This window comes from Homo sapiens, chromosome 14 (genome assembly GCF_000001405.40).
Source record: "Homo sapiens chromosome 14, GRCh38.p14 Primary Assembly".
In the NCBI taxonomy this organism is placed as follows: Eukaryota; Metazoa; Chordata; class Mammalia; order Primates; family Hominidae; genus Homo; species Homo sapiens.
In genome coordinates this window covers 100,905,616-100,930,858 of record NC_000014.9, presented here as the reverse complement: position 1 = coordinate 100,930,858, position 25,243 = coordinate 100,905,616, and the positions used below count along the sequence as shown (strand labels likewise).

Here is a 25,243-nt window from a genome sequence, read left to right as displayed (position 1 = left end):
CCGTGGGGGAAGAGCCTAGTTTTAGGTCTTTTGTTTTGCTTTTTCTTTATCTGAACATCAGTAAGATACTACAGGATAAATAATTCACACGTTTTTAACACATGCTCCTCTTCAGTCCATGTTGTACCTCAGTGGTTCTCAACTGGGGACAATGTTGCCCCCCACAGATGAAATTTGCCAAAGTCTGAAGAAATGTTTGATCGTCACACTGGGAGGAGGGTCAACATTGGCATCTACTGAGTAGAAGCCAATGAAGTTACTACACACCCTACAATATACAAGACAATCTTGCACCATAGAGAATTACCCAAAATGTCAATAGAGCCAAAGTCAAGAAACACTGCTTTACCTTCCTCAAATAACTGAATACATTCACTCCTGTGTATACATTCACTCATGACATCATCAATATCTGTGAACATACAGATTGCATCAGAAATATGAATGGCGTTAACACCTGTCATTTGCTCATGATTCCCAGACTAGATCATATTTTCTTGTGTTCATTAAGAAACAGCAACATCTAAATAATGCAGGACAAACAATACTGATTTCTAGGTACTTGTCTCTGTATGTATATTCCTTACCCAAATAGGTATCAGATTTAATCAATTTATGTTGAAACTGAGTGCTTCAGAAGTGTGTTAATAATAATAAATACATTATACATTCTCATAATTAGGCAACATATGGCTCTACTTGTCTTCCTTTATTTACATATTTGTTTCATTTTTCATTTACTAAATCTTTTCTAGTAATACAATCCACACCTATGAACTTCAACCACCTAAGAACAAAATCCCAAATAATTCTAACTTCCACTATAATATCATTTACCATATAGGTATTAACTAGGTCTCCTCTTATAATGGACCTCAGAGTTACAGGGTTTAATCAAAATCATTGATTCAGACACCCCAGAATACTCATCATTGGTCTAGGCCTAGCATTTCTTTTTTATTCATTCATTCATACCTTTGTTTATTGTTTCACTCATTGAATCACTAACAACAAAGCCAATAGACACAAATCAAAAAAAACTAAGAACAAGATCCTTGAATATTACTGAGATCTATAAGCTTATTTTCCATAGAAGTGATACTGCATTTTTTCAGAATGGATCCAAGCATTATACAAATAATTAACTACACTTCCTTGCTTCATACCAATCTCACATTAATATTTCATCCAGACTTTCTTTTATTTAATTTGTCCATATTTTAAAGATAGTACATGAGGTAGCCAGCCTCCAAATGGCTCCCAAGGCCCATGCTCCTGTTATGCATAGCCTTGTGTAGCTTCTTTACATATTAAATCATGACCGCCTGTATTACCAACAGAATACTGTGGAAATGATGGTGTATGACTTCTGGAGCTAGATTATAAAATACATTGAGGGTTCCACCTTTCTCTGTCTTAGATTGACTGCTCTAGGGGACATCAACTGCCATGTTGTAAGGATACTCAAGCAGTCCTGAGGAAGAGTCTATTTGTGAAGAAACTGTGGCTTCCCGCAATCAGCACCAACTTTCCAGCCATGTAAGTGAAGCAGACACTCTAGCACAGTCAAGCTTTCAGATGACTGCAACTCAACCTGACATCTTGCCTGCAACTTCACAAGAAACCCTAAGCTAAAACTGCCCCCAGTAAGCCTCTCCTGGATTCCTGCCACATAGAAACCGTGAGAAATGACAAATGTTTATTGTTGTTTTAATCCATTAAATTGTTCAGTAATTCATTACACAGCAAAAGATAATAATACAATAGAATGAACAACTGTGAACCACCATCTTAACTCACAATGAGGACACTGACACTATCTTCCTTTTCCTATCTGCTTCTCCCTAGAGGAGTGAATAGCCTTGATCTTTAACTTTAAAGAAATGTGTGTAAATCAACCACGGCACAAAATAAAATACAATATTAAAAACCTCTGAAATTAATAAAAGCCCTCCATCATTTGTAATGGACCTAAGTTGGGCTGAATTAAACTAATCATAAACCTTGGTTCACTTCCATTATTGGTTCTTGTATGGTATGCTTTTTATATATGTATATATTTAGCGGTTTATTCTTCTAACATAATTTAGTGATGAACAAGCCACCTAAACCCAGGACATGAACTTTAACTATTATCTACAACAGACTCTGAGCTCCTTAACCACAGAGGCAAAACACCAATGTCTTTATTGTTATCGAATAATTAGCTGTGGCATGTTCATTGTGTGAAGGAAAATACACATTTTAGAAAGAACGAAACAGCAAAGACTTAACTTCTTTTAGAAATTATTTTAGATTAATCATAAACCTTGGTTCCTAACACATTCTCATTATTGACTCAAGAATAACCATACCTTTTATGTATGAATTTACTTACTGTTTAATTCTTAATATAATGAACCCTTAAATCCACCCAATGCAAGAGTAATAAATGTAACCACTAACAACTATCTATCTGTATACTCCCTAACCACATCAACACCCAAACCTCATTAATTTTTTTAAGGCACCATATTTGAGCATTTCTGAGAGTGTGCCATGAAGCAATGATCCAAGATCTACCTTAATTTAAGCATTTACTGACTCACTTGTGTTCTTTCTTTTATTTAATTACCCCCAAAATAATTTGATCATTTATTCATTTTTTCTAAAAAAAGAATAAAAACAAACAATAATCAAGAAGTGAAATACCATTTCATGCAACTGTTGACACGCACTTTGTCCAAAGTGGGATCCATGTAGATTTCTTTTATTTTTCATCTGTAAAAATGGGTTAATTGTTATTTTTGTTTGATGACACTTTGGCCAATCCTCCATACTCTTTTAAATAATTGAAACGCAAACTCATTTATTCATTCACTTTTTACAATACATCAAAATGAATAAAAGCCAAGACAATGGACAAGAACACTGACTAATATCTGTTTGTATGCTCACTGCCCAAAAATACAAATGGCTAGATCATTTTTGTTGTTTTAGATAATGTTCAGTGAACAGAATTGGATTAATAAGACCTATGGTCATATTCTCAGTATTAGTCCACACCTGGCCTTCTTTCAATTAGGCAATTATTGGAACAATTACTTTTAATGTAAATGATTTGTTTCTTTTCTAAATAAAACCGACAACCCAACATCAATCCAAAATTACAACAGGGACTCTCGTGAAATTAGATATGTCTTTTGTGGAAAATAGTAAGGGACACTTAATCTATTTATGTTATGAAACTCAGTGCTTCAGAAAATAACAATAATTAGTAATAACCCTTGTTTCATTAAAGACTTGCATAATTAGCCATCATTAATTTCTACATCTTTATTCTTGCATTGGTTCACTTCTCATACAGTTCACAGGCATGAAGAACTGAGAATCAGATCTTTGGCTATTCCTAACTTTTGCTGTAAGCCCCTTTCCCACAGACGAAATAACTAGTTTCTTTTTTCTAATAAACCTCTGAGTTACAGAATCTAATCAAAATCTTTGATTCCTACAGCTCAGAATACTAATGATTGGCTATACTTGACATACTTTATGCATTGTTTATTTCTTTATTCATTGATTCATTAATAATAATAGTATAATCAATTCTCATGAATCAAAAAGCTCAAGAACAACATCTGTGAATACTAATGATTGTATATATGTCCATTGACCAAAGAGCTAATAGATGGAAGTCACTTTCTGCAACATATGTGTGTGTGAGTTTGTATACATATATATACATATATGCACTTTTGGCACTTATAAATTAATCAACTTCCTTCTTTCATGTCAGCTCCATGCTACTCACTGGTCCACGGTTGGTCCTTTTTCAAGTGCCAAATATGGTATAATGAATCACCAAGGAATCATAATCTTACTGCACAACTAGAACACTGACAACACTGTCCATCTTCCTATGTGCTCCTCCCTCAAGGAATTAATAGCCTAAATCTTTATCAATGGAGAGGTACTTAACTGAATCACAACGCAATAATAAAACAATCTGAATCATCTCTGAAAATGAATGAAATACCCTGTATCTTTTTTATTGAATTTTACTAGTACCAAATCAGATTAATCATAAATCCCAATTCTGAACATATTCTCATCACTGGTACATATTGGTGTTACCTAGTTTTATTTATTAATATATCCAGTTATTATTTTAATAAATTCAGGCAACACCCATGAACCAACCTCCCAATCCAAGAACAGTAAACACTAATTGTTACTTACATAAATCTCTTCTCTCCTTACCCACAGAAGTAAAAGGCAAGATCTTTAGCATTAGAGAATGACTAAATCAGTTCTTCACCATAATGTGCTCATTTGGTGAAGTAAAATACATACTTTCAAGAGAAAGAAAGACCCTACAGTTAGACTTTTTAATGGAAATTTGTTTGGCAGTATTAGATTAATCATAAACTTCGGTCATCTCATCATTGCCCAAAAATGGCACTCCTTATTTATTGACTTGTGTAGTTTGGGCTTTTAAATAATACAATGAATATCAACATGAGAATAAGAGCCATATCTATCATAAATATCTGTCTACATACTCCAGATCCATAAATTTACCAGATAGGTGATCACTTTTAGTGGATCTCACTTGTGCAAAATTAGATAAATGTAAACCTTTGTTTTATGGCATATTCTCATTAATGATGCAAAATCTTTCTGATTTACATGTCTAGTGATTCACTTATTTACTCATATATACAATTATGCATGGAATAAATTACATATCTGTTTTTCTAAAGAATTACTCCATGGAAATTTCAATGTGTGCTTTATCCAAAGCAGGGGCAACCTGGAGCTCTATTTATCTGGACAACATTAGAGTATAACTGGAGTAATCATTATCTTTGGTTCATAACACCTGTTCCTCACTGGCCCATGCTTGGCCTTCTCTTAAATAATTGATCTTGATATGAATAACCTCCTTTATTCCCTTAGAACAACATATCAATAACAATGGACTCCAAGACAAAGGATAAGAACTGTCAATATCTGTCTACATATTCATAGCCCATAGCTACAGCCCAAAAAATCCTCTTTTAATTTTCTTAAAAATAAAACTCACTAAATAATGTTGGATTAATTATAACCCTGGTCATACGACACATTCTGAATATTGGTTCGTGTTTGGCCCTCTCTCAATAAAATATGGTAAACCCACCAGCAGCCCAGAACTGAAATATTCTATGATCCCTCTCTATGAACTTAACCCAAGTTAACCCAAGTTAGAAGCGCCTAGATCCTACTTTCTCTATAAGGACACCAGTAGGGTAGAACGGGATTAGTCATAAGCTTTATTCCACATCACATGCTCCACACTGTCCAGAGTTGGCCCTTGAGATATAATTATATTCATTCAACTTAAAAAACAATATATAATTACCAGAGATCCCAGACTCTACACTTGAACTTGAACACAAAACAAAACAACCCATAGAAATAACCGACTCTATCCCTTGCCATTTTTTGTCGCTTTTTATAAAATTCAGTGGATACAATTAGATCCATCATAACTGGTGTCATGTAACACATCCTCAAATTGGCACATATTTGCTCCTTTTCTATTACAGTCATGTAATCTTTTGTTTGTGTAAATATTTTTCCTTCTCAATAAGCTGACAGCTAGCAACCTCTTACCAATCCAGAATGCCAACATGGACACTTAGATGCATCTGTCCATGTGCTTCTGCGTGTCTGCAGCTCCTATGTACTCCAAATGACAGCTTTTGCCTATATGTTATATTGAAATTCAGTATTCTACAAATATATTCCTAGAAATACTTGTTTCATGACATGCTCTCATAAATGGTCCACATATGACAGTCTTTATCTTCACTTACACATTTCTTTGTTAATGCATTCATCGATTCATTTATGATCCCTACCTAGGAAGCACTAAAGCCCAAGAAACTGAACTTTTACTCTGAATTCCACTCTCTTACAGAGAAGAGCAAGGTCTCTTTCTAATGGACTTCAGAGTTTAGGGTTTAATCAAAATTAATGATTCATATGCCACAGAACTATTCATCACTCACTTTTTCCTCATGTATTTACTTATGCACTGTTTATTGATTATGCATATTATTTCATTCATGGTTTCACCCACAAAATAATTTAATATCCATGAATCACAAAAACCCAAGAACAAGACCTCTGACTGCTGCAGAATGCTATTTCCAGGCTTGTTTCCCACAGAGCTGGTAGACGAGATCTCTTTTTAATTGGGCCTCAGACTGTGCCTATAATTAATCGATAACCTTGCTTCCTAACCATCCCGTGTGCTACTGCTCTTTGCTCAATCGTCTTTCGCTTAATTTACTCATAACTTAATAGCAGTACAATGAACACCCTATCACCTCATTCCACAACTGGAACACTGGCAATTTGTTCAGTATTTGTAGGTGCTCCCTCCCCACCAATGAAAAAGCCTAGATCTTTATCAATAGAGAAATCTTCTTAAAATACGGTGCACAATAGAGTAGAATATTAAGCAACTGTGAAAATGAATACAACCCCCTCCAATTATGTTTGTAAGGGATTTCAGTTGTACCAAAATAAATTCATCTTTGTAAGGGACTTCAGCTGTACTAAAATGAATTCATCTTAACCTATGGTTCATTACATATTCCCAATATTTGCCCATGCATGGCATTGTTTAATTGGTTTTGATTTTATTATTTTATTTTTAATTGACAGATAAAATTATGTGTATTTATCGCATACGACATGATGTTTTGAATTATATATACATTGTCGGATGACTAACTCTAGCTAATTGATATAACCATTACTTCTCGTAGTTGCCATTTTTGTGGTGAGAACACTTCACATCCACTCTCTCAGCATTTTTTAATTCTATTTATGTTTGTGGTAGCCATTCATTCCCTTGAATTAATTCCATGGACAACATGAATAGCCCCCTTCAAAGCAAGAACAAGAACTCTGTTACTTAACGTGCCTCTCTGCTTCTTATCCACATAAGTGACAGCCATGATCTCCATCATTGGATAACAAATAAGTCAGATCTGGCATACAGAATGTGGAGTAAAAACTAGATTTTAGAAAATTCAAGAAGCAGCACAGATTTAGATTTTTTTTAAGGGACCTAAGTCCTGTTGTACCAAATTTATGGAAAAAAAAAACTCCAGTTTTTGTCAAATTCCCATCATTAGCCCAAGAATGGCCCTGATTTTATTTATTGACTTTTTAAATTACTAATTTAGGCAATATAGTGAAAACTCCCAAACCTGTGCCCTAAAAAAAATAATAAAAAACTAGGCATGTTCCAAATTCTATCACTTAAGCCCCACCCACATAGGTAAGAACCAAGGTGATCTTTTTTATAGGTCTTCCTTGATTAGAATTGGATAAATTTATGTCCCCATTTCTTAACACATTTTCACCAATGGTCCATGTTTGATCCTAATTTATGAATCCATTTATTTGTTTATTTTTTATTCACTCATGGAATAATTTGTTAGTATTTTTATTTTCTTCAAGGAAAATGCAAAATGGCCTACAATATTATTACAAATAACTGACTCTATGTTCTTTATCCACAGTGTGCAGAACCCTAGTCCCCTTTTATTTATATGAACATTTTTAATGATACATTAACTTTATTCATCTATGTTTGTCCTCTTTTAAATAATCCCTTTCATGCAATCAGTAGGACTGCTATACTCCAACAATAACCAAGCTAAGAATCAAATCAAAAACTCAATCCCTTTTACAGCAACTGGAACAAGAACAAAAAAGTGCTTGGGAATATACCTAACCAAAGAGGTGAAAGATCTCTACTAGAAAAACTACAAAACACTGCTGAAAGAAATCATAGATGACACAAACAAATGAAAACACATCCCACGTTCATGCATGGATAGAATCAATATTGTGAAAATGGCCATACTGCCAAAAGAAATCTACAGATTCAATGCAATTACCATCCAAATACCATCATCATTCTTCGCAGAACTAGAAAAATAATCCTAAAATTCATATGGAACTGAAAAAGAGCCCACATAGCCAAAGCAATACTAAGCATAAAGACCAAATCTGGAGGCATTACATTGCCCAACTTCAAACTATACTACAAAGCTATAGTCACCAAAACAGCATGATACTTGTATAAAAATAGGCACATAGACCAATGGAAAAGGAGAAAGAACCCAGAAATAAAACCAAACAGTTACAGCCAACTGATCTTCAACAAAGCAAACAAAAACATAAAGTGGGAAAAGGACACCCTATTCAACAAATGCTGCTGGGATAATTGGCAAGCCACGTGTAGAAGAATAAAACTGGATCATCATCTCTCACACCTTAAACAAAAGCCAACTCAAAATGGATCAAAGACTTAAAATCTAAGACCTGAAACCATAAAAACTCTGCAATATAACATCAGAAAAACTCTTCTAGTTATTGGCCTAGGCAAAGAGTTTATGATCAAGAATGCAAAAACAAGTGCAACAAAAACAAAAATAAATAGATGGGACCTAATGAAACTAAAAAGCTTCTGCACAGCAAAAGAAATAATCAGCAGAGTAAACAGACACCTCTCAGAGTGGGAGAAAATATTTGCAAACTATGATCTGACAAAGGACTAATATTCAGAATCTACAAGGAACCCAAACAAATCAGCAAAAAAACAAAACACACAAAAAAAAAATCTATCAAAAAGTGGGCAAAGGACATGAATAGATAATTCCCAAAAGAAGATAAACAAATGCCCAAAAAACATATGAAAAATGTTCAACATCACTAATTACCGGGGAAATGCAAATTAAAACCACAGTGGGATGCCACCTTAGTCTTGCAAGAATGGCCATAATTAAACTATCAAAAGTTAATCAATGTTTGCATGGATGTGGTGAAAAGGGAACACTTTTACACTGCTGGTGGGAATGCAAACTAGTACAAGCAGTATGGAAAAAAGTATGGCGATTCCTTAAAGAATTAAAAGTAGAACTACCATTTAACCCACCAATCCCACTACTGGGTATTCACCCAGAGGAAAAGAAGTCATTACATGAAAAAGACATTTGCACACACATGTTTATAGCAACACAATTCACAATTTTAAAAATATGAAATCAGCCTACATGCCCAACAATCTGCAAGTGGATAAGGAAAATGTGATATATATATATATATACACACACACACACACACACACAAACTGTGGAATACTACTCAGCCGTAAAAAGGAACAAAATAATGGCATTCGCAGCAACCTGGATGGAGTTGAAGACCATTATTCTCAGTGAATTAACTTAGGAATAAAACCAAACATTGTATGTTCTTACTTATAAGTGGGAGCTAAGCTGTGAGGATGTAAAGGCATAATAATGACATAATAAACTTTGGGGACTCAGGGCGAAGGCTGGTAGGGGATGAAGAATAAAAGACTACACATTGGGTACACTGTACACTGCTCAGGTGACAGGTGCGCCAACATCTCCGAAATCACCACTAAAGAACTTACCCATGTAAACAAAAACCACCTGTTCCCCCAAAACTATTGAAATAAAAATAGAAAATTTTTAAAAAATTGCTCAGTGATTAATATATAGTAAACAATTGTTAGCTATACTGCTAACATTTTTATTATTTTTTATTATTTTATTATTATAGTTTTATTTTGTCATTGCTATGAAGGAAGTATTGTTCTTGATGCTATAGATAATAAAAAAGCATTCTGTCAATAAAAAATAAATAAGCAAATAAATAATCCCTTCCTTCATTTACTTAGAATAATACTCTCATAATTGGTGCATATCCAGCCCTCTTTGGCTGAATTCATTGGTATGTGTCTTTATTTACTCATGCACTGATTTACTACTAATAATAGGATTCATATCAGATGTGCAAAATCCCAAGCACGAGATGCCTATATTCCTCACTGCAGCTACAAGCTCATGTCCCACTGAGGCAGTAAATTAGGTTTGTTTTTATAATGGACCTAGAGTCATATAGTTTAATCAAAATCCTTGATTCAAGCACCTCAGGGTACTTACCATTGGTTTAGTTTTGAGACATTTTTATTTATTTATACAGTTGTTTATTGATTTAATTCATTAATTGACAAAAATTGCTTTATCAATATTCATGAATCACAACAAAGCAAGAATAAGATATATGAATATTATAACTGATAGATGTAGGCTAATTTCTCCAAGAGCTAATCCACCAAATCTCCTTCAACAGTGGATCTCACTGTTACACATATGGACCAACCAAAATCCTTATACAGTCCCACACTCAATGTGGTCCAGGCAGGGCCCTCTTTCTCTAGCCTTTCCTCAACTTTTTCAAATTTTAAACATTTAACAAAGAACATAAAGGAACCACTTGTTTTACTTCCCTGACAACATTTTTTTCCTTACTTGTGTTTTCTCTGTCAATAGCTTAGAAACCTAAATCTTTATCAATGGCAGAATGTGTAAATTAAGAGTGGTGAAAAAATGACATATTAAACAATTGTAAACTGAATGAAGTTATTTTCTTCCATCTGTTTTGTAGTGGAACCCACTTGTTCAGAATTATATTGATCTTAAATTTTGTTTCAGGGTACATTTTCACCAATGCTCATTCTTTTTTTAAGTTTTATTTTATTCTTAAAATAAAATAAAATTTTATTTAATTGACAAATCCTTCTTGTCCCTCTTTATGTATTCATCTATTTGCTTATTTACTATTTAATTTGTAATAGGTTAATTTAATCTCATATCTATCTTTTGAAAGAAAATTAAGAAGGATAAATCTACCAGCATCCAAAACTGACTATAACAAGAACACATCTGTGAACATTAAGCATTTAGGAGTCCAGACATTATATCCTTTACATGGACATCAGCAGTATAGAAATGTATTATCCTAATACTTGCTTCAAAATTTATGACCATCACTGGTCTGTCATCTGTCCTCTTTTAACTTATTGTGACATAAACTTATTCATTCATTCCCTTACAATCCATAGCTGAGAATCCAAAGAAAACTGTTCAAAAACTCTGAATAAAACTAACATCTGTCAATCTGCCCATCACCCACAGAGATAATCAACTAGATCTTCATTCTCATTGTTATTCAATGAACTCAATGACTAGAACTGGATTAATATTAATTCTTATCACCTGACACATTCTCAACACTGGTCCTCTTCCATTTTCTTCTTTATGTAAAAATCTTTCCCTTAGAAGTAAGAGCAACCATCCAGCCCTGGGCTTGTGTGTATTTTATTGACTTCAATGCTTCAAAAACATAATAATAATCCATTGGTTCATGCTTGGCTTTCTTTTTTTATTCATTTACACACTTGTTTAATAAGCTCACCTGTAATCCCAGCACTTTGGGAGGCCTAGGTGGGCAGATCATTTGAGGTCACGAGTTCGAGACCAGCTTGACCTACATAATGAAACCCCGTCTCTACTAAAATACAAAAATTAGCTGGGCATGGTGGTAGGCACCTGTAATCCCAGCTACCCAGAAGGCTGAGGCAGGAGAATCGCTTGAACCCAGGAAGCGGAGGTTGCAGTGAGCCGAGATCGCGCCATTGCACTCCAGCCTGGGCGACAGAGTGAGACTCCCTTTCCAAAAAAAAAAAAAAGTTCGTTTATACATTTGTTCAATTTGTTTAATGATTTACTCATCGATTCACTTACACTATACTAATGTAATCACTACCATGAGGCATAAAAGGGTTAAGATCAAGACCCTGCTACAGGCCCATCTATGAAGGTAAGAGACTGGGTATCTCTTACAGTGGATTTCAGTAGTGCCTACATGGATTAATCCTCACTCAGCACTTGCCATGCTTGATCCTCTTCCATTTAGTCAGCTACATAATCAGGTATTTGTTAATGTCAGTAATTTTCTTTGAAACAAAAAACTGAAGACTAGCAAGACACCACCAACAACACAGAACAGCATCGATTATTACATGATCTTTTCATGTCTTCCTTACCTAAACAAACTAACCATCCTTACCTAAAAGAATTAACCATTAAACCATAGCCATTATTTTTACGGGTTTTGGTGCTTAATAAAAACTACTTATAATAGGCCAGACAGTGGCTCATGCACTTTGGGAGGCCAAGGCGGGTGGATCACTTGAGCCCAGGAATTTGAGACCAGCCTAGGCAACATGGTGAAACCTCATCTCTACAAAAAATACAAAAAAATTAGCCAGGTGTGGTGACATGAGCCTGTGGTCCCAGCTACTAGGGAAGCTGAGGCAGGAGGATTGCTTAAGCCTAGAGGTCGAGGCTGTGGTGAGTTGTGACTGCGCCACTGCACTCCAGCCTGGGTGACAGAGTGAGACTCTGTCTCAAAAAAAAAAAAAAAAAAGGAAAATAATCCTTGTTTCAGCAGTATACACTTTAATGTTTAGCATGTGCTGTTCCCATTTTTTTCTCATTCATTTATTCACTTGTCATTGATTCATCACTGATTAGCCAATAATAATACAATCAGTACCCATGGATTAGAAAAACATAAAATTGAATATTCCTCTCATTGGATTATAGCAGTGCTGAGCAATAAAAAATATAATGCCACCTACACGAATACTTGTAAATTTTCTAGAAGCTACAATATTTAAAAAGTAAAAAGAAAAAGATGAAATCAACTGTAATTGTGTATTTTATTTAGCCCAATATCTAAAATACTATCATTTAATAAATATAAATAATTCTAGAAATATTTTACCTTTTTCATATTGAGGCTTCTAAACTCGGTGTGTATTTTTCCATGTAGATCACATGTCGATTAGACTAGTCACATTCCAAGTGCACAGTAGCTCCAGTGGCTAGCACTGATGATACTAGACTGTGCATGTCTATAATCTAATTTCCCACAGAGATAATACACTAGATCTCTTCCTATAACGCATCTCAGTATGACACACATGGATCAATGGATCAATCAACATTCTTCATACATAGCAATGCCACAGTTATCACTGGCCCATCCTTAGCCCTCTTTCTTTTAATTTGTCTATATTTCAAAGATGACACAATGAGCTACTATAAATCCACCATCTTCTTGCCCAATAGAATACTGATAATTACTTTCAATCTTCCTTTGTGATACCCTCTTAAGCAGTTAATGGCATAGGTGTATATCAATGGAGGACTGTTTAAATCAACAGTGATGTAAAATGTATATGAATATTAAACTGCCAGCAGCACAAATAAAATAGCCTGACTGTACTCTTAATAGAAGTGGTGTTGAATTGGATTAATCATGAACACTGATTCATATAACATTCTCATCATTGGTCCATGCATGTTCTGCAATATTTTAATATGTAGAGCTATTTATTTCTTTTAAATAATACAGTCAACATCCATGAGCAAATCATCCAAACCAAGAACAAGGACCCTGACTGTCCTGTCATCAGCCTCCATGCTCCTTGCCCACAGAGAAAGCAGCCCGGCCCTCATCATTACAGAATAGCTGATCACCTGCGGTGCACTCACTCTGTAGAAGAGAAAGCAGGTGTGAAAAGGTGTGAAAGAGACTAGATTTAAACTTTTTAAAGAAATATTAAAATTTTAATATACTGGATTGACCATAATCCTTGGCTTGTGCCACATTCTCAACATTGGTCCATGGCTGGCCCTCTTTCTCACCACTGACCCACAATTAACACTTCATTCTTAATTGACTTAATCAATTGATTATTTTAATTATTAACTTAATGAACACCATGGAGTGAATCACCTAAAATAAAAATGAGAATGATGACCATTACAAACCCCTCTCTATGTGTCCCCACTTATATGAGTGACAGGCCCAGGTAAGGAGAGCCCACATCATCTGCCCAGCAGGACTACGGAGTTGCCGTGGGGTGGCACTGCTCAGTGCCTCCTATTCTTTTTGTAAGTGGGAGTGGTTCTTGTGACCTTCGTGTCTATAGAATATTTACCATATAGAAGACAGATAACCTATTTATTTAAGGTCTTTGAATTTTAAAAATGTATTCACTTATTGATTTTTATAACATAATCAAGTAAAACACCACGAATCTACCATCAAAACCAAGAAAAACAGTAGTATATTATAGAGATAGATAGATATATAATAGATAGGTGGGTAGGTAGATAGATAGAAAGATAGATAGATAGATAGATAGATAGATAATAGATAGATAGATGAATAGATAGATAGATAGATAGATAGATAGATAGATAGATAGATAATCTTTTCATCCTTAACCATAACTGGAGAAACAGAAACCTTTACATAATGGACTTCATCTGTTGAGAAATGTATGGATATAATATTTGGTTCATGACACACTTTCATCACTGGTCCATGCTTAGGCTTTTATTTAACTTTTGTATTTATGTATTCATATTTAATATTCAAAAAACTGCCATGAACCAACCACCTAACACAACTGACTAATGTAGTAGCTTTAAAATTTGACTGCCCCACTGGATATCAGACTTGCATGGGCCAGTAGCCACATGTGACTATTTAAATTTAAATTAATAAAAATTAAGTAATATTAAAAATTCAGTTACTCATGAACGCCAGCCACATTTCAAGGACTCAATAATCACATGGACTAGTAGCTACCATACTGTACAGAACAGATTACAGAACATTTCCATCACTGCAGAAAGTTCTACTGCGGACGGGTATGGTGGCTTGCACCTGTAACCAGCTGTTTGGGAGCCAAGGCCGGTGAACTGCTTGAGCCTAGGAGTTCAAGACCAGCCTGGGCAACATGGAGAAACCCTGTCTCCACAAAAAATACAAAAATTAGCTGGGTATGGTGGTGCACACCTGTAGTCCTAGCTACTCAGGAGGCTGAGGTGGGAGGATCACCTGAGCACAGGGAGGTCTAGCCTGGGCAACAGAGTGAGACCTGTCTCAAGGCAAAAAAAAAAAAAAAGAAAGAAAGTTCCATTGGGCAATACTAGAAAATACTCTTAGGTTATATTCTAGAACTTTTTCTAATGAACCTAATTGGATTAATCATGATCTCTGCTTCATGAAACATCATCATTGGTTTATGCTGACACTCTTTTATTTGATTTGATCATTTCTAAAGAAGTTGCAATGAGCAATCATAAATCCAATCTGTTACTCCACTAATAGAACACTGACGTCATCTTTCATCTCTTTGTGTGCTCCTTGGTCAGAGTAAATAGCCCAGATTTCTATTTATGGGCAAACGTGTAAATAAACTATGTTCATGTACAAAATGAAATACAAAACAGCTGGTAAAGGAAGTGAAACAGGGTAGGTTATTTGTGTGGCAGTCAGAATTTAATTAACTATAATGCTTTCATTCTTGGACCATTCTCATCACCAGTCCATGTTTTGGCCTTTTGTTTATTTTACACACTTAGGTAATTATTTATTTATTTTTAGTACTAAAATCAACATCCAACATGCCACCATGCCAAAAAAAAGAATATTAACTGACTCTTTAACCAATGCATTTTTAAAGGGACCTTGGATGAACTGAATTGGAATAATCATAATTCTAGGATGATGAGTGTTGTACTTTCTTCTAACATGGTCTTGAGGTCTGTCTCAAGAGAGTGAATATAAATTCTAGCTCTGCCTGATGGGGATGCAGGAGAGGTGGTCATGGGTGTTTACAGCGTATCTTTTATGGGATACGTCTTTATCCCAGCAGACAGTCTAATGCCTAAGCATCCTATCCATTACCAGGTGTCCCTCTCATAGGAAACTCATTTACACTGGCAGTACCCCTGTGGTTCTTGTCTGACCTACATCTAGTCTATTCCTGCCAAGATAGCCATTCTCTAGGAGATCCCTGACCAGGAAAGAAGTTCAATTCAAGTGTGTTGGTCAGGTGAGACACAGAGGAAGCAACTCAACAAAACACATGAAATGAAACAACAGAAGCAGTTTATTACTTACAGATCCTGCATGCCTCACAGGGCCAGCGGGAAGGGGAAAGCCTGTATTGCAGGCTATGGCATTTCCCAAGCAGGTTTCCTGCAGAGAGTTCTCACTGGTGCATTTAGAGCAAGCCACTATATCTGTGTGGTCCACATAGGCTGTGGGGTCAGTGTATCTAGCTGTTTTTTAGGGAGGCAGTATCCTGGAGGTGGCTGTACAAGGCAGTTATCTGGATCTAACATATTAAGAACTTGGAGGAGGTGGATAACTGCAAACTGTGTCAAGGGTGACTAAGCCTGCTTCTGGAATGAGAAAGTTAAACTTAGGTTGAAAACGGATGCTGAAGCTACATAAAAAGAATTTACGACAATGAGATATGATCACCTTTGTCCCATGTTTGCCCTCTCTTGTTTTATTCATGTGTTTGTTCATTCATTCATTTACTCATTTATGAACACCCTTAAACAACTCTCCAGCCAAGATTTAACAACATCAACTATTAATTACATTTTCTTTAAGTACCTTATCTACCCAAGTAAGAGTCAACATTCTCATAAATACTGCATGACTATATAAACTATGATTTGTCCATTCTGTGCAACAAACAGCAACTATTAGAAAAATAAACACCCTGGATCATTTTTAATGACTTTTACTTGTGTAGAATTTAATTAATAAGCCTCACTTTACATGAAATATTATCCTCATTATCTATGCTTGGCCCTTTTAAGTTTTATTTATCGCTTTAAACAAAAATCATGAAAGAACAATCACGAATCCTATTCAACAAACAGAAAACGACCAATACCTTACTTCCCTATGTGACTCTCTGCCACCGACATAACATCCCAAACTTCTTCAATAGGGAAGTGTTCATGCAAAAGTGTAGTGCATAAATTAATAGTGGAATGCTACTGAAATGAATGAAACAGCATAAATATTTGTGTTTCAATGTCTCTCCAATTTGCAGAGCTGTGCAATCATAAATCTTAGATCATGATACATTGTCTTCATTAGTCCATGCTTGACTCTCTTTGATCTTGTTTATACATGCATCCATTTATGTTTAATTACCCCATAAACATATATAAACCCACCCCAGCCTGCAAATATGAAAAATAAACATAACACATATTACGTATGTGATATATATATAGGATACATGTATAAACATAACACATGATACATGTGATATATATGTAGTATACGTGTGTGTGTGTGTGTGTGTTCCTTTTTTTCTTTGCTCATTTGCTACAGAGAACAGCCCAGTAATATTGTTTTTTAATTTGGTAACAGTTACGCTATATGAAATTAATCACCCTTGGTTCATGACATTCTCATCATGCCCGTCATCTTTGACCTTATTTATGTATTGATTCATGTTTAATAATGTAATAAACAACCATCAACCAACCACCCAACTTCAAAACAACAACACTAAACATTACTCACATTGGTTGGTTCATGGCTCATTTTCCACAGAGGTCACAATCAAGATCTTCATCGACAAAGTGTCATTAATTTCACTCTGGAGCCTCCATTCTGTGGAACACAAGGCTGATATTAAAAAGGATGAAAAAACCTAGATTTTTTTAATGGCCATCAGGTGAGAAGCACAGTATTAATCATAATCTTTGGTTCATGACAGTCTCACCACTGGCCCAAGCATAGCTCTCCGCAATTATTCATTTATTAATTTGTATTATTACAAATGAGTGTGTATTAATTCACCACTCTAATCAAAAACAAGAATCATGACTCTCACAAACATATGTCCCTGTGCATCTTACCCAAGAAGGAACCAACCCAGATATTCTTCCTAACGGATGCAGATGACGCAGACTTGGAGTGACAATCATATTTGATTCCTACTCACCCTTTTCAATGTTTTCATTTATTTTTTTAAATACAACAAACACAGATGAACCCACCACTGACCCAGACCAAAAATATTGATTAGTACATCCAAATACTTCTTATCCACTGAGGTCAAAGTCTTGTTTTATTTTATATAGTCCACAATTGTACACAAATGGATAAATCTTAATCTTTAGGTCATAAAACACTGTCTTTGTGGTCCATTCTTGACATTCTTTCATTTCGTCACTTTTGTACTCATCTAATTCATTTTTGACTATGCAGCCACTACACTTGAAGTCACCATTTAGCCCAAGACCAGTGACTATTCTGTATACCTGTTGATACACTTCCTACCCTCAGCCTCAACAGCCTAGAACCTGGCTTTTGTTTTGGAATAACCTCACAGAAGCAGAGACTAGAAAGGTAGTTACTAGGGGTCAGGAGTGAGAGGAATCTGGAGATCTTAGTGAGAGGATGCAAACTTAGGAGTAAGATGCAGTTAGGAGTAAGTTCTGGTAACCCAATGCAGAGTACGGTGACTATAGTTAACAATAATGTATTTCATGCTTGAAATTTGCTAAAAGAGTAGACCTTAAGTATTCTCACTGCACACATGGAAAAACGGAACTACATGAGGTGATGGGTATGTTAATTCGCTTGATTATGGTAATCATTTCACAATATATATGTATATCAAAATGTCACACTGTACAATTTAAATACAATACAAATACATACAATACTGATTTATCAATTATATATTTATAAAGCTGGGGAGTGAGGAACACATTGCCATCATTGGTACATGCTTGGCTGTCTCTGGTTTTATTTACGCATTCATTCATTTTTAACTGTTCAATCAACACCCACAAAGCCGGCTTTTATTTGTCTGCACTCACCTTCTCTGGGAGAGAAACCCCAGTGTGCCCATTCTATGGAACATAAAGCCGGTTAAAAAAAGAAAATAGCCTACGAGGCCTTTTTTGTTTGTTAATATCAGGTTACCAGACCTGGATTAGTCATAATCCTTTGCCCAGAACACATTCTCAGAATTGTTCCATTCGAGGCCTTTATTACCTTATTTCTTTATTCCTTGATTATTTTTAATAACAAAATTAATAGCCACGAACCACTCTGATTTCTTTTTTTAATGCCCCTCAGTTGTGAAGAATTAATCACCATCCCTGGTTTACAACCCACTCCCGTCCTTGCTGCTGGCATGTCTCTCTCTTCTTGTATTGATTGTTAAAACCACCCACGAGAATTACCACTGGTGGTCCCCACCTCCATCCCTCCCCCTCTCATGCCCCTGCCTCCCTCTACCTTAAACAATCACTCCCAAATCTCCTGGATACAATCCCTTTCCAGATATATATATATATAAATTTACAACATATATGTAATATATGTATTCTTAAATATTTTCCATGGGTCAGTGGCTTGCAGGAGTTTTCAGTGAAGGCTAAAGAGAAGGGTCGAGGGAGAGTGTGAAATACACAAGCTTGAGTTCAGAGTACACCCACTGCTGGGGGGATTGGTAAAAGCCCTCAAACCCAGATCACTGAGCCATCTGCACCTGCGCACACACCACGAGCCAGTGGGCCCAGTGGTTGCAGCACATATGCTCACACCTCAGTACCCACCTCCCAAATCCAGCCTCAATGCCAGACGAGCTGGGTGACATCAGCAAAGCAAACTAACGTCTCTGTGCCTGTTTCCCCATCAGCAAGATAGTTGCAGTGGGGGGTCCCCAAGCAAAGTTATGTTATTATTTTCAAGCCAATGGCAACCAGGTTAAAAAAAAATACAAAAAAACCCTCCATCCCACCTCTGAGCCCCCTCCCTCACCCAAATCTTGGCTCCCTCTGCAGCAGCGCCCGAGCTCTGGTGTTAGACAGACAGACAGACCAGGTTCCACCCCAGCAGGCACTCGTGAGCTGTGTAACTGCAGAGACGTGACCTGGCTTCTCTGTCTTGTGCCCCGACTTGTACGGTTTGTAGAATGAGGAATGCAGCGCCCTCGTGGGTCCAACCGGAGGGTGACCTGAACTATCGCCCATCCCTCAAGTAGCCCGCCTTGCACACCTGCGCACACCCCACCCTTTCCCCGTCCCATGACGCCCAGCCCACTGCTCAAACAGTCCCCAGTTTGATCAAAGAAATGAATTAGTTCAATGCTCAGATCAAGCCAAGGGTTTGGGACTCGGGCAGGGAATTGTTCGGGCATGTTCTTTTTTGGACATGGCATCAGAGCTTAAACAAATACACTGAAAAACAGAAATCCAACTAAGGGATGTGCTTTGGAAAATGAAAATTCATTTTGTGAAGTGGGACTGCCCTTGGGGAAGTCTATGCAGTGAGATTCTTGATGTTCAACTTGATTCCAAGAAACCAAAAGAGGCTTCACTATGGGCCTTACCAAAGATACACAGCCAGTTTCCTTCTTACCCCTCCCCCCAGCTTGTCCTGGGTGTGTACCACCTGCCACAACTGGCCTCAGAGCAACTCAGGGACCTGAAAATAATTCTATATATTATATAGAGTTATGGTGTAGGTGTATAACGTCATTTACACATCAATCTGTCCATTGGGGGACTGTCATGAGGGAGTCGTGGGAAGACCACCAGTGTGGGGACCTGCCCCTGCCTTCTTCATACTGTGAGGCCTTGGAGAAGGCCTGTCCCCTCCCTGAGCCTCAGGTGGCGATCGTCCCACCAGCCTTTCCTCCCTCCTAAGTGGTGTGAAAATGAAAAGCATAACATTTTAAGTGCAAGTTCCCTCCAAGCAGCAGGGATCATTAATATTGTACCTCCTGTACCCAGCACGTAGTGTTCACAGCATGCCTCAGCATACATTATCTCGTTTGATTCTCACAACAGTCCTGTGAATTAGACATAATAATCATAATTAGCCAATATTTATTGAATGCATACTCTGTACCAAGCACCACACTGCCTACTTTGCATACATTGACACTCCTCTGGGGTGGATACAATTCAATAGTATCTCATAAATTTTTCCCCAAAATTTCTGAGCATGCACTTTGTATTGTTGCTGGGTCTAAGTGCCAGGGATACAGTAGTGAGCAAAACGGACAGATCCCGGTTCCATGAGAATTAACATCCCTGTGGGTGGAGATAGGAACAGAAAATCATCAGAAAAGGTAAGCCTAATGCATGGGATAAAAGATGGTGGTAAGAACTAGGGAGGAAAATAAAGCAGGAAGGGGGTAGGGAGTGACACCAGGGAGGAGGCCTCACGGAGATGATGATATTTGAGCAAAGCATTACTAGTCCTATTTTATACCTAAGGAAACTGAGACTCAGGGAAGTTAAGTGACTTATAAGTGGTCACACAGCAAGGAAATGCTGAGCCAGGAGGCAAACCCGGGCAGTGTCGCTCCAGAGTCGGCCTTACCACTTCTTCCGGAAGCCTCGTTTTGGCAGCAATGTCCCACTGCCAGCCCGCAATGTGAGTGTGAGAATAAATCACGTGGCGGGGGCTGGGGGGGAGGTGCGAAGGTTTTTCTGACCTCCCACACAGGCAGCCCCAGAAGCAGAGGGAATCCCCAGGATGTACCATTGGACCTGGATGAATAAATAGACTGTCCATCTTGGAGGAGATGCAGGGGCAACAGTTCTTACAGGACTGGCACAGAATCTGAAGTCAGGCAATGCTGGGATCACAGCTTATCCTCAACACAGCCCAGCAAGTCAGCACCAATGCTAAACCCATCTCCTCCCGCCTGGCTGTTAGGGCATCCGATTGCACCCCGCCAGAGGCACCCCATGTGATGTGCAGCCACATGCCACCTAGGCTCCAGTTACAGATGTGCTGCCCCAGGAAAAGGAGGAGGCTTCCCAGTCCTCATGCCCCTCATGGTAAGAGACTCAGAATTTTTCCAACTGGCCACCTCCAAAAGAGCAAGTCAAGAAACATTTCTCAAGTGACTGTTTCTCCCCCAAAAAATAGGAAGGGAAAGAAGTTTAATGAAATCATATCTGAGAACTGGGGAACCTTGCCCACTACTGCTAGAAACCATGAAGTTTAATGAATTTCAACCTCAGAAACTTGGATTCAGAGGACTGTAATTATTTATCTTGCCTTTGACCTACTCAGCTTCTTCCCAGCAACCATGCAACCCCTGTGTAAGCCCCTATACTGCAAGGAAATTCCTTCACAGGAGTCTCACCTCTCTTAGGGTTTCATCTTTCTTTAGATGGATCATGCCCATTTGCTGTGTAGAACTCTTACTTCTATCACTAGAACTTCTAGTTTTAAATTAGTATTTCTGTTTCTATTTCACTGATGCATTCTCCAAAGACAAGCACACAGGCCTCTCTGAGCACCTGTTCAGTTACTGGTAAAATGTGGATAATGATTCTTACCTGCCAATGATATCAAATGACACCTCAATAACAATACTTATAACAACTGTAATTTTCACTGTAAGTAAATATTTATTGAATGCTCAACATCTGGAAAGCATTCTTTTTTGTTTTTGTTTTTTTTTCTTTGGAGACCGGGTTTCCCTCTGTCATCCAGGCTAAAGTGCAGTGGCACAACCATGGCTCACTGCAGCCTTGACCTCCCAGGCCCAAGCAATCTTCCCATCTCAGTCTCCCAGGTAACTAGGACCACAGATGTGCACCACTACACCCAGATAATTTTTAAATATTTTGTAGAGATTGGGGTCTCCCTATGTTTCTCAGGCTGGTCTCGAACTCCTGGGCTCAAGGGATCCTCCCACCTCAGCCTCCCAAAGTGCTGGGATTACAGGCATAAGCCACCATGCCCAGCCTGGAATGCTCTCTTTTAAGGAATTTATATGTTTGCCTCATTTAATCCTCAAGTACTCATTAGTAAGGTACTATCGGTATTAGTAAGGTACTGTTGGTACAACTGAAGAAAACGCGGCACAGAAATTAAATACCTTGTCCAAACTCACAAAAGTAGTCAATGGCAAAGCTGAGATTGAAACCTTAGCACCTAGAATGTGTGAAGTAGGGCCTAGCCCATGAGCAGGTTCTCAAAACCTATCTGCTAATGTTAACCCAGGTCTGCAGCAAGGCTTACTGATTCGCCATTCAGCCCTACATCCAGTCCCCTCCCTCCTTGCCTTGCACTGGAGTCATTTTTACATCTACTACCATTAGCATTCAGTCAGAATATGAGATGCCAGGAATCTAATTTGACTTGATTAATTGTACTGTAGGATGCCAGTGATATGTGTGGCCCTTGCCTGTGTGATCATTACAAATAGAATACACTAGAGATATTACTTGGGAAATAAGCTTGGATTTGATTGGATGAGAAGTTCAGCTCACTGACAGACCAAGAGAGTGAGTCCAATATGAGACAACCCCAAGGCAGATTTCTTCAGACATGGTCATAGAGAAAAGGAAATAAACAGGTTGAGGGGATGAGTTTGGAAGGAAAGAAGACTCGAGTTCAAATCCTGGGTCTGCATTTCCTCCTTATACGATTTTGGGTAAGTCACTTACCACTCCTAAACTTCGGTTTCCTTTTCACTTAATTGAGAATAGAAATTGCTATCATGGAGGGTGGCTGTGATGATTTAGAGGAGATAAAATTATGCCAAGTGCCAGTGAAGGGCTGAGTATGCGGTTGGGGCTTAGGGCTTAGTCATCCAGGAGAGCCAGTGGAAAGGCGGATGCCTGCTCTTCGTCAGTGCTGCGTGAAAGCAGCAGAGACGGAGAGTTGCCACTGAGCAGCTCCAGCACCACAGCTGGGACTTGGTCCCTGTAAGCTGGCATCCCACCTGTTGTCCCAGAGCCACCTGAGCCAGTCAGTGCGCTCAGAAGCAGAACAGAAGGCAGGAGCTTCACCAGCAAGCTCCATTCAGAGGGAACCTCTCTTCAAAGATCAAGTAAGCCTTTGATCTTGGTGGGAAATTGACTATCCTCTCTCATTCCTCTCTCCTTCCACCACCTGTGCTTCAATTCACTCATCCATCTTACCAGCATTCATGAGGTAGCCAGCCATCTCTCCATCTATGCATGTATCTTGATGTAGGCATCCATCCATCCATCAGACCTGACATCCATCCTTCCACCTCTCCATTTTGCAGAGGAATCACACAGACCTGAGTTGGAATCCTGGGTCTTGCTTCCTAGCCGACCTCGAGCAAGTCACTAACCTCTCCAAGTCCTCTAATCTGTAAAATGAAGGGAAATCAGATGTCGCTGGGATGAGGATTTAAAGAGAGCGTAGACATACCAGTGTCTGGCCTCAGCAAAGTCATTAAATGTTCATTCCCTCTGCTTCTGCAATCTGGTTGGGATTTATGCAAGGAAATAAACCACCGCATCTTTTGCATGACATGTTGAGAAGTGCTTTTTAGAAATTATCTGCGATGTTTTAGTGGTGTGCATCTTCCGGTGGCACCCAGGGCTGGGCAGTGGCCAAAGCAGTTTGGGGTGGTGGTCCCCCCTGGACTCACAGTAGAGAGTGCCATCTAGTGGATAGGCACCTGCCGGGGTCCCCTGTTGGTCCCAGGTCACAACAGCTGAGGTCAGGCAGCTAAACGGCAAGCCAGGAGGTCCAGGCGAACCCAGCCCCCAGACTGTAGGCTGCCCTTTTTGGGATGTAGTGCATGTGCTGTTTTAACCACTCAGGGGACCTGGACTGCCAGGAGCCTTTTGTTTTATGGACAATAGCCAGCTATGTTTTGCCTGCCCCTGCCCAAATCCCCTTTAAACGTTTCTGGGAAAAAGAATCATTCTCGCAGCTACTGTTTGCTGAGTGTCTCTGACATATTAGACATGCGGCTGGGGCTTCAGGGGTTAATGCTCTAACCCTCTCAATGACCCAAGGAGAGACCCAGAACTTGCCCCATTTTCAGTGAGAACACTGAGGTTTGCTGAGGTTGAGTTTCTCATTTAAGGTCCAGGCAGATATTCAACCCCTAAATGTGTAGCCATACTTACCTTCTAGAGCCCCAGATCCCCTTGAAAGAGCAGGAGATAGTTTGAACACTGACTTGACCAAGCCAACTGTAAAAGAAATTTATGAGTCAATCAAGAATATTGGAATGCTACATAGATGGTGGATGATATTAAGGAAAGGCTATTAATTTTTTAACTTGTGATAATGGTGTTGTGGTTTTATTTTTAAGAAACAAAAGCTTCTTATTTAGAGATACAAACTAAAAAATGCTCAGAGGAAACAGGATGGTGTCTGAAATTTGCTTCGAAATAGTCCAGGGGTAGGGGTTGGGCAGTGGGAGTAGAGGGACAGTTTAGGGTTTAGATGAAACAAGAGGGGCCAGGGTTTGACGGCAACCGTGTCCGGGTAATGGCAAGATGAAAATTGAGTAAACAGTAAAAATACGTACTATTTTCTCTACTTTTGTGTTGTTTGCAATTTCCCATAATAAAGGGATTTTTAAATCAACAAGTGAAAATACAGTGCAGAAGATGAAGGGCTGGGGGTGAAGGGTGCCATTTAAAAGAACAGAGGGGCCTGGGGTATGAGA

The 25,243-nt window shown here is 38.0% G+C and overlaps 1 long non-coding RNA gene and 4 other non-coding genes across 5 annotated transcripts in view; all 5 read right to left on the bottom strand.

The window, feature by feature from the left end:
- The window catches only part of MEG8 (maternally expressed 8, small nucleolar RNA host gene), a 109,465-nt gene that overhangs the window by 68,255 nt on the left and 15,967 nt on the right, over positions 1–25,243 (bottom strand). Inside the window, exons 6-9 of the long non-coding RNA NR_146000.1 lie at positions 24,696–24,761; positions 23,727–23,923; positions 20,555–20,626; positions 17,338–17,427 (exon numbers count right to left, since the gene is read on the bottom strand). This is a non-coding gene — a long non-coding RNA (maternally expressed 8, small nucleolar RNA host gene). The remainder of the gene's footprint in view (positions 1–17,337; positions 17,428–20,554; positions 20,627–23,726; positions 23,924–24,695; positions 24,762–25,243) is intronic.
- SNORD113-3 (small nucleolar RNA, C/D box 113-3) lies at positions 870–940 on the bottom strand. Its single transcript, NR_003231.1, has one exon. It is a non-coding gene; the product is annotated as a small nucleolar RNA, C/D box 113-3 (small nucleolar RNA).
- On the bottom strand, positions 3,447–3,517 carry SNORD113-2 (small nucleolar RNA, C/D box 113-2). Its single transcript, NR_003230.1, has one exon. It is a non-coding gene; the product is annotated as a small nucleolar RNA, C/D box 113-2 (small nucleolar RNA).
- Positions 5,969–6,038, bottom strand: SNORD113-1 (small nucleolar RNA, C/D box 113-1). The gene has a single exon (NR_003229.1). It is a non-coding gene; the product is annotated as a small nucleolar RNA, C/D box 113-1 (small nucleolar RNA).
- Positions 19,646–19,720, bottom strand: MIR370 (microRNA 370). The gene has a single exon (NR_029863.1). It is a non-coding gene; the product is annotated as a microRNA 370 (primary transcript).